General features: G+C 40.4%; 1 long non-coding RNA gene across 2 annotated transcripts; it reads right to left on the bottom strand.

The window, feature by feature from the left end:
* Positions 1-1,341: 1,341 nt before the first annotated feature.
* On the bottom strand, positions 1,342-3,774 carry LOC105373679 (uncharacterized). Of its 2 annotated transcripts, XR_923461.3 has the most exons (3): positions 3,733-3,774; positions 3,365-3,514; positions 1,342-1,499 (listed from the first exon to the last, which is right to left on the bottom strand). It is a non-coding gene; the product is annotated as an uncharacterized LOC105373679 (long non-coding RNA). The 2 variants fall into 2 exon arrangements; XR_007087265.1 differs by lacking the exon at positions 3,733-3,774 and having other exon boundaries at positions 3,365-3,578.
* Positions 3,775-10,442: the final 6,668 nt, after the last annotated feature.

Below are 10,442 nucleotides of genomic sequence, written 5' to 3'. Positions count from 1 at the left end.
CAGTGCCAAGGGAGAAACAAAGGCTAGTCACAGACTAGAATTTAAAATGCAAGGGGGAAAAGGTGTCCATAAAAAAAAAATCACAGATTTTCAGTTTGTCCTCTATTATTTCTTCTAAATTAAATTTCTATCCAGAGGATCCATATTTTTAAATATGAATGAGTTCTGAGCTAACAGCGACTACTTTCCCTAAAGCAGAATACCAGAGGATCTACATATGATCAAAGTGACATGAGTGTTTGCGTGTAATATTCAGGGTGGCCAAAGACAGAAAGAAAGTACTGTTGGTGATGATCTTGAGATATCATCTGACTCCAAAAGTTTGTAATCAGGTCCAGCTGATATCTCAGCCAGTTGGTCTCTGGAACAGCAGCCTGACTGTGGAATCCTGTTAAAAATCAATCTTGGAGATCAAGGCAGATTTCATAGGCTATACATGATCTGGTATTAAGCATATAAGTGACTTTGCTTCAGAATCCCTTAAAAACAGGAAAGAACATAAAGATAGGGACAACATACAAACAGAGGGAGAATGAGAAAAGGATTTTAGAATATATTGCACCTGGCACCTTATTTTCACAAACAAAGAAACTTAAGAGAGGAATGTATGGAATTCTGTAAGGCACACAGTAGCCAAGGGCCTCCTTTAGCACATAGTGACCTCATCACAGAGGGGTGATCCCCATGTCTTTAGCCAAAGGACCAGCAGACAGTTGAGCCATCAGCCTGCTGATGAAAGATCCGTCTTATTTTTAGCACTTGTGGTTATCATCTTTCCTCCACAGTGCCCCAGTCCTTTGACCATAGCCATCCTCATAGTGCTGGGAATCTCTTTCAGCAGACAAGACATCTAACGATGTGAAAAGGAACAAAAAGTCCAGAATAGGTGAGAAACACACACAGGGCTATGTAAGTGACGCGGGGAAAAGGTAGAGTGCAGGTGTCTATCTCAGCCAGCCCCTCAAGGAGCTAATCGGTTCCATAGGAAATTGTCAAAACAACTGTTTCACTGAAACTTAAACACCAGCCATCATACCCGTTATATTGTTTTGTAGGCGCCACTCATTTTTCAACTTCAAGAGCTCGGAAACTGTATCACTTAGTTTTGAAAATATACTAATAAATACCATACCTTGCAGATTCATTTTAATCAGCCCTGTCTTGAAATAGCTGTTTACTAATTTTGCATAATATAATTAAATTCCCAAACACTATACTTAAGAACCATTAAAGATATGACTTATCCTGATGAGAGTCGAGAAATTCCAAATTTAGGATGTGTACAATCCCTGCTGTTGTGAAAATAAGATTCTCCACGAGGACAGCAAATTGGAATGAGAATTAAAGACTACAGTTTCCCTTTTATTAAATATTATGATACATGAAGAATACAAAAGGTAGGAGGCTCAGGCAGGCTGAGAATCTGATTCAACATTTTCTCCCCTGGTGAATCCAGTACACAAACACTGATTTTGGCATTAGGTTTCACAAGCTCCCAGCTGGAAAGGTTTACAGCAAAAGGAAGAGAGGTGTGGAGAAGTAAGTTAATAATTTCTTCTACCTTCCAGACTACTGATTCTTTCTCTGTCATTTAATGTCTCTCCCTCCACCCCTCCCTCCACCACCAAGCAGGACATCCTTAATTTCTCCCTCTTCCCTTTGCATATTTTTGACAGTCTCATGTCTGAACATTCTTATCCATCTCACATGGCCTTTGTCCTAGTGAGGCTCTCATCATGTTATAACTTATCTGGTTTATTGCAAAGGTCTCCCAATTAGTTTTCCACTCTCCAATATCTTTTTACTCCAGTCTTTGCTACTCATGCTGTCAAATTAACCTCTAAGAGGTTGTATATTTCACTTCCACTATTCAAATCCCACCAATATTCTTCAAACTCTTGTTGCTGGAATCCAAATTTGCTGGCCATATTTCTAATATATTTTGAAAGCTCCTCTACTCAAAATTGTTCTTCTTTCCCCCTAAAAAAGTAGGTTAATGACCTAGACAGTGCTTGGTACATAGAAGGGAGAATAATAAATATTAGTTTATTCTGCTTGGTATAAAATAAAGCTATTATAGTCCTAGACCTTTGCCTGTATCTTCCCTTTTATCTAATGTACTCCCTTCTCTTAGCTGCCTGTCAAAATCTGGTCTTTTTAAAAAAAGATAAAGTTTCACCTCTTCTGTGAAGCCTTTCCTATCTAGTCATTGTGATTATTCCCATTCTAACCTTCTGTAGCAGTTGCTTTTCCATAGCACCATTTGGTTCCAGTCCAAGGGAGAAGAAGTTGGGGTATTTGCCCACTAACTCCAATCTAGCACAGGTTGAGAGCTGCTTCGGGGAGCATGGGCTCCCTGGCATATTGGCCTGACCCATGCATTGACCAAGAATGATTTCAGCCCCCCACCACCCCACCCCACCCCTGGCAAGAACAAAAAACACTCAGCCAGAAGAAAGTCTTGCAGGTCTTGCAATAGAAAGCTGTGGAAATGTAAGGGCATATTGAGGTCCCAGGAGCATGGGAGGGGCGTCCTTCCATGATGTCTTATTGTAGGGAAGTACTAAGAGTTTCCCCGGGGAACCTCTTATATGTCAGATGGCCTCTTCCCAGCTCCCATGCTGTAGCAGACACCCTAACCCCTCAAAATGTCAGTGTCAGCAAGTGACTTTAAGAACTCCTTTCTCTGCCTGCTAGACCTCTGGCAGGAGGCACCAAAATGCCTAGGAAGCAGTGGATTAGTATGATGTTCTGTGGAATGTCAAGATAACCAAGATCCTTTGGATTATATTCTGTCAAAGAGCAGTAAACATCACCCTGGGGTGAGGCTCTGACTGAGTACGACTGTTCATCCCAGGTGACTGGAAGCTGCTTTTGATCCTAATTCCTGGTGCAACCTGAAGGGTATATATGCCAAATAAATAGTCACATACCAAGTTCCCAAGTGTGAGATGCTATGTAGATATGTTCTAGAACATATCAACACTGATATGACACTGCATTCAGCACAGCTGCTGTGATTGAGGCTACTACTTGATTAAGCTTACAGTGGTCAATCATAATTTGCCATGATCTACCTGGATTTTTTTCAAGGGCTAGGTTGGCACATTAAATGCAGTACCCTGGGTTTATACTCTGAAGCTTGTCTACAGAATCTTTGACATCTTAATGGAGATACTAGGAATGAATAAACACAGCTGCTTTCACCAGGGAAGAGTTGGAGACTTGGATCCACTTAGATGGTTTGATCTGGGGAAACTAAAAGAACCAACCATTGATTTACGTAAATGATAGATACCATTACTAGAAATATAAGGGTTGTGAAATGTTCTGGCTATACATCGTTAAATGGTTCAAAACTTACCTACGTGAGAAGCAGCAAAAACTGGCGAGGTAAGGGGCTGGAACCTCAAAGTATGAAGCAAGAGTGGTGGTGCAAGCCTAGGTCCTAAACTCATTCATGAGAAGTAGCTGTGGTCAGTTCTGGACCAGGCTGGATAAAACTTAACCTTGACTGTATATATTACACATGGTATTTAGACTGAATAACTCAGACTTAGAGAAATACAGTTGTTTTTTTTTTTTTTTTTTTAGACAGGGTCTCACTTTGTCGCCTAGGATGGAGTGCAGTAGCATGATGAGATCAGGGCTCACTGCAGCCTCAACTTCGCCAAGCTCAGGTGATTCTCCCGTTGCCTTAGCAACCCTCCCACCCCCACCCCAACCTCGTACCTGGGACTACAGGTGCAGGCCACCACGCCCAGCTAAGTTTTGTATTTTTTGCAGAGATGGGGTTTCAGCATGTTGTCTGGGCTCGAAGCAATCCACCCGCCTCAGCCTCCCAAAGTGCTGGGATTACAGACATGAGCACCTGGCCACACCTATGTATTCTGATATCATTTTTCAGTGGAGATAAAAAGTCAGGGTTGGGCCTTCCCTGGGGGACTGGTTGTTTCCACTCTCAGTCATCCTGGGAAGAGTCAGCTCCTAGGACAAGACAGAGATTGTAGACAGGTTTTCAAGGACATAATACTTTGAGAAGAAGATAAGCATATGAGCAGTGATTATTAAAACAAATAATTATAAGAAAAAAACAGAACTGAGTTATCATTATTTTCATCAGAAGTTTAGCTGCCTAAGCAGGTTTAGCCTGCAATCCTATGAACCAGTTCCACAGAAGGGAAACACACAACCCTTATCAAAGACCCACACAACTAAAAAGCAACTGTTTCATCCTGCAAAATAATTTCCAAGATGATAGAAACTATGCCAAGAAGAAATGGACTAAGATCAAGGATAGAGGAATGAGCAAAAGAGCTCAGAAAAAAAAGCAGTGGTTATATTGGCTTTACTCCTCTCAAAATGTTTGATGGAAAAGACCAACTCTCCATGGACAGTCAAGTATTTATACTGATGCTGCTGGAGGCTCTTTGAGGTTATAGTAGGTTATTACTGACCAGCTCAGGGAACTAACTTGCAGGGACAGGCCTATGTCTGCATCTTCTCTAGTCATAACCCCCTCCTACTGCTCATAGGATCCATTAGGGGCCTGTGCAAGGCAATGGATTTCTACACTCCCATCATCAGAATGCGGAGTTTTCTCTCCATGCCTCTTAGGGAATTTTGTTTTATGACATCATTTGATTTTCAGTGTCCCATCTCCATTGATTTCCAAGGCAAATAAACCTACTAAAGCTCATTAGAAAACCAACACTTCACGCAGTTACAAAAACCACCCCTATTTATAGGGCATATGCTCTTAGGTATTACTAGGTAATATTAGGTATTATTCTACCACCACTGGATAGATCTTAATTATTGCCAAGTTTACAATAATAAAACGTTAAGTACATTATTTCAGGCTTCTTATCACATAAAAAATGCTAAACATTACACCTGTGAACTGGTCACTTCTTTTCACAAATGTGTTCCTCTTTGCCTTTGTTCACAGTGCTGCCAAATGTTATCCTTTTGTCTGAAGCTAATGGATGTGCCTCCACTTCGTCTACTCTCAGCAGCTGTGACCATCATCTAAATGAATATAAGAATTGAATTAACGTGCAGTGAGTGCCCACAGTGTCCTGAACTATATTAAAAATGATGATTGATGGCTCTGTGGAATAAGTTCCTATTTTCTTTAAAGCTCAAAATCTGTGTGAGGAATAGATTAAAACTATCTCATACATAGTTTACCTCCCAGCTGTGAACTAATAAGATGGATAACTCATAAGAGTATTATATCTGATTCTGGGGTTTATTTCTTTACTAACTTGTAGAGGTGTGGATGAGATTTTGAGAATTCATAAAACTTTAATCAAAATAACAAAACCACTATATGAAGCTCTGTTTCTGCCAGGAAGATGTTCAGTTTCCTCTTGGTATTTCATTTCAGACTGAAGAAGCTATCCCTGTGTTAGTTGGGACCCACAGAAAATAGAAGGCATGCTCTGATGGGGTTTCTGAAGAGACTGTAATGAAAGAAATTTTTGCAGAGGCTTGGGTGTGATCAAGGAAACCTACAGGCAAAGCTGAGGATTCCAAGGATGGTACCAGGGCAAGTCATTACCACCCTGAGACCTAAGCCCTGACAGAGTGAGGGAAGATGCATGTCATTGGATCCTGGGAGAGCCGAAAGAGAGTAAGGGGGTTTGCTGGGGAGGCACGATCATCAGGGAGGGATGCAGCTACCGCTAGGGCTGCAGTTCCAAGCAAAGGGAGCAGGGAAGACATACTCTGACCTCTGTCTTCCTGCTCTTCCATCTCTTGCATTGTTTCCCATTGGCCAAGTCCAACCGGAAACGAGAGGGCAATGGAACCCAGATGATGGAGCCTGTGGAGGTCAGGATAGAGGAGGGTAGAGAATGGATTTGAGGAAGGGCAAAAGGTGAATGACCAACACAATCACCATCTAGACTAACACAAAATGCCACCCTCTATTGAACTGTCTTTTCTGGCTCTAAGATAGTATTTCCCCAAATATATTCCAGATGGGTGCTCTGTGTGCAGGGGGGCGTGTTTGGGGAGAGGAGAATTTCTTGTGCATACATTCATTTGGGAAACACTGGATTAACATATTAAACTCTGGATCAACACACCAAACAGAACTCTTTACTCAAGAAATTTTCAAAACTGTAGTATGTACACAATTTTTTTAACAAATAATTATTGAGAGTTATGTGATGAGCCAGGTTCTGGACCTGGCTAGTGATATGATGAATAGGACAGACACCCACACTTGCAGTACTCACAAACAAGTGGCGGGCAGACAATAAGCAGTAAACCAAAAACTAAATAATTACAAAGTGTCTGATGAAGCTCCCAATGGGAATGAAATGTGCAGCATATCTCATACATTATTTAGCTTCATAAATCTTTGTTTCTGGAAATCTTTTGGAGAGTGAAAGACTCTCTTTGAGAAAGGCCACTCTAAGTTTTTATCAACTATTGGTTACATATTTTGGTCTGGAATTTACATGATTAAATGCTCGATACTTAGTTTTTGATAACAGCTTTTCATCCTGCTGGCCCTAGACAGTCAAAGAGCAAACCTGATATTTATGGAAAATGGGGAATGGGAAGGTAACACAAAAAGGAGAAGCAAAAAAGGGAGAACACAAAAAAAGGAGAATCTTAGTTGTGAAAGCCATTTAAATCAACTTAGCATTTTTTTTGCAATGTAGACTTTTCCTTGGAGTCTATCCTGTAAGGCAAGGTGATATTATTACTAAAGTTACCATTAGGGTGGATGTGCATGAAGAAGGTAAACCTACCACCCGATTTTTTTTTGGTGGGGGGGGTTTACAGTGTTTATTTCTTTGTTTCATATTTTCTTTTTTTTAATTTTATTATTATTATACTCTAAGTTTTAGGGTACATGTGCACAATGTGCAGGTTTGTTACATATGTATACATGTGCCATGTTGGTGTGCTGCAGCCATTAACTTGTCATTTAGCATTAGGTATATCTCCTAAAGCTATCCCTCCCCACTTCCCCCACCCCACAACAGTCCCCAGAGCACGATGTTCCCCTTCCTGTGTCCATGTGTTCTCATTGTTCAATTCCCACCTATGAGTGAGAACATGCAGTGTTTGGTTTTTTGTCCTTGCAATAGTTTGCTGAGAATGATGGTTTCCAGCTTCATCCATGTCTCTACAAAGGACATGAAATCATCCTTTTTTATGGCTGCATAGTATTCCATGGTGTATATGTGCCACATTTTCTTAATCCAGTCTGTCATTGTTGGACATTTGGGTTGGTTCCAAGTCTTTGCTATTGTGAATAGTGCTGCAATAAACATACATGTGCATGTGTCTTTATAGCAGCATGATTTATAATCCTTTGTGTATACACCCAGTAATGGGATGGATGGGTCAAATGGTATTTCTAGTTCTAGATCCTTGAGGAATAGCCACACTGTCTTCCACAATGGTTGAACTAGTTTACAGTCTCACCAACAGTGTAAAAGTGTTCCTATTTCTCCACATCCTCTCCAGCACCTGTTGTTTCCTGACTTTTTAATGATCGCCATTCTAACTGGTGTGAGATGGTATCTCATTGTGGTTTGGATTTGCATTTCTCTGATGGCCAGTGATGGTGAGCATTTTCTCATGTGTTTTTTGGCTGCATAAATGTCTTCTTTTGAGAAATGTCTGTTCATATTCTTCGCCCACTTTTTGATGGGGTTGTTTGTTTTTTTCTTGTAAATTTGTTTGAGTTCATTGTAGATTCTGGATATTAGCCCTTTGTCAGACGAGTAGGTTGCAAAAATTTTCTCCCATTCTGTAGGTTGCCTGTTCACTCTGATGGTAGTTTCTTTTGCTGTGCAAAGTAAAGTCCACAGGGGTTCAACAAAGATGGAGAAAGCAACTGTCTGGGGTCATTTGTTCATAATGCACATTTACATGTCTTTTTGTTAGAAAGCTCTTCACAAAAAAATGTATGGCCTGTTTGTCATAGATGTGATTTGGTGCCCCACCTCCATTCTCTTTACTGGGCCTGTGCACGCCACCCCAGCTGTGAGTATCGCTTGCTATTGCCTCCTAAGAGCTCACAGCTGCCCCTTCTCCAGTCTCTTCTGCCCTCCCCTCTTCCAAGGGGAAAGTGCTCTTGAGTGTTTTATGCCAGAGGTGCCAGTGAATCAGGCCAAGGGTCCACTTTTCCTAGGCCATATCCTTGCTGACTCTTTCCCCTTCACTCCTTCCCTGGTAAATTATTCCCAAATAGCCTCTCCGTAGTTGTGGTCCCCTGTTTTCATCAGGCTCCACAGGAAACTGGAATCAGAAGAGATTTGGAAAAAGTCACACAGCAAGGTAATGCCAGGACATGAAAGACACCATCAGCCTCTTTATACTGTGCTCACTGGTCTTTCCATTTGCCCCATGGAGATCTAGCACATTTGCTCATTTAATAGCTTTCTATTTTGATTTCTCTTCAAAAAGAATATATGTGCAGAAAAGCTTATTGAACTAGCTCTTCTCCATATCTATGAGAAGCTATTATCCACATCTGTTATCCACATTTATGAGAAGCTGAGCTATTTAGATTATTTGTCACAATTCTTCTGTTGACCATTGATGCAAATTATAGACATAAATATCTATGAAGAAAATTTAAAATGTGAGCTTCCAAGACCAGCACTCCAGTAAACTCTTTAAAGTGATAGCAAAGGTTACAATCCTTAAAGAACCTTTGCCACATATTAAATGTTGTTAGAATATATAAGCATTTGCATTGCATATTATGATTTATAATACACTATCATGAATATTTTATTCATCCTCCCAGTAACCTTGTGACTGGAGTAAAGTATTGGGATCTCTATTTTATAAATGAAAAAACTGAAGTTCAGGAATATTAAGGGACTTGTCAATGTCTAATAGTGATTAAGTTGCATAGTGAAAATTTGACAGCTTTTTTATTAGCAAATTTTGAACCTTTCTACTTTATTGCCTATTTTATCTACTTTGTCGTATTTTATCATTTCTTAACTTGTTAGACCTTATAACATCAGTGTATCATTTAGTCGTCATGAAACTCTGTAGCACTATTTGTATTCTAGAACACAGGACCTTCTAGAATTTCTATGGTATAACAAAACAGACTGCATAATCAAACATTTATCCTATTTCTAGGAAGTTGATGTGTCAAGATTTTTATTTCTCTCCACTTGTTATAAATTTGACTTGTGGTTCTATAAAATTAATGTCCATTGATTTCTCAGAAATCAGTGCATTCCCTACACGGAGGGTTTGGTTTTCAGAAGAACCAAACGGTACATCATTATTGATTATGTATTGCCTTTCCTTAAGAGCTGTTGAGAATGTGAATACTTTTCTAAGTGGTTACTCAGACATAACACTTTATTTAATTCATTTCCAAAATTCAGCCTGTCTCCTAGCCAACTACAACATAGTTTACTTTAGAAATATCAATATATTGTTTCAGCAAAGAAAAAAAAAGTCAAGCAAGAAAATATTGCCCAAGTGTTAGCTTTTGTACACAGAGAAAATATATGGTTTCAACTAAGTGGGAGAAAATAGAAACCATTTCTTCTCTGTGGGTTAAAAGAATATACACTCCATGTACAGTATCTTCTTGAGTCTATGCAGTTAAAAGTGACAATGGGACTGTTGATGAGCCAGAGAGAGAACACAGAACTATTGAGGGGCTCATGCGTATCTTAAAAATTATCATTCCAAGTGCCTTATGCACTTACTTCTAACTCTAGGCATGCATGCAACAGCCAAGCAAATTTCATGTAATTGCCATACTCTAACAGTTCCAGAGGGAAATTACTGATCACAGTTATTTACTTAAATACAAATGGGAAACTAAAGTAACCTCAGGGTCACACTGAAATAGCCCTTGACTTGGGTTATAACTTCAAAATTAATTGGAAAGAGCAGGCAGTAAGGCCATTGGGGTGCACTGAGCAGCCTCTCCATAATTAAAGACCCACAGGCAGACAAATGACATTATCCACCGCTCTGGGAAGGGAGACAGTTTACCCATTCCAGCAGATCTCTAAACATCAGTAGTTGCGAGTTCTTGCCACACGGTTCTATGCCTTTAAGAAAGCAAGCTTCCTTCAGTGTTGTCGATGAACTGATGGTCATGGGCAGTCTTTCTAATCACTTTTAAATCTTCAGTAATCATGCTATCAAAAGATTTAAATATCATCCCATGCCTAGCATGGGGCTTCAGGCACCACACACAAAAAGTATCCATGGGCCGGGCACAGTGGCTCATGCCTGTAATCCCAGCACTTTGGAGGCCGAGGTGGGCGGATCACCTGAGGTCAGGAGTTCGAGACCAGTCTGGCCAACATGGTGAAACCCTGTCTCTACTGAAAAATACAAAAATTAGCTGGGCACGGTGGTGTGGCACCTGTAGTCCCAGCCATCGGGAGGCTGAGGTGGGAGCTTGAACCCAGGAGGCAGAG

The sequence above is a fragment of the Homo sapiens genome, chromosome 2 (assembly GCF_000001405.40).
Source record: "Homo sapiens chromosome 2, GRCh38.p14 Primary Assembly".
Taxonomy (NCBI): domain Eukaryota; kingdom Metazoa; phylum Chordata; class Mammalia; order Primates; family Hominidae; genus Homo; species Homo sapiens.
Note: the sequence above shows the minus strand (reverse complement) of the source record. Positions and strands in the feature narration are given on the sequence as shown.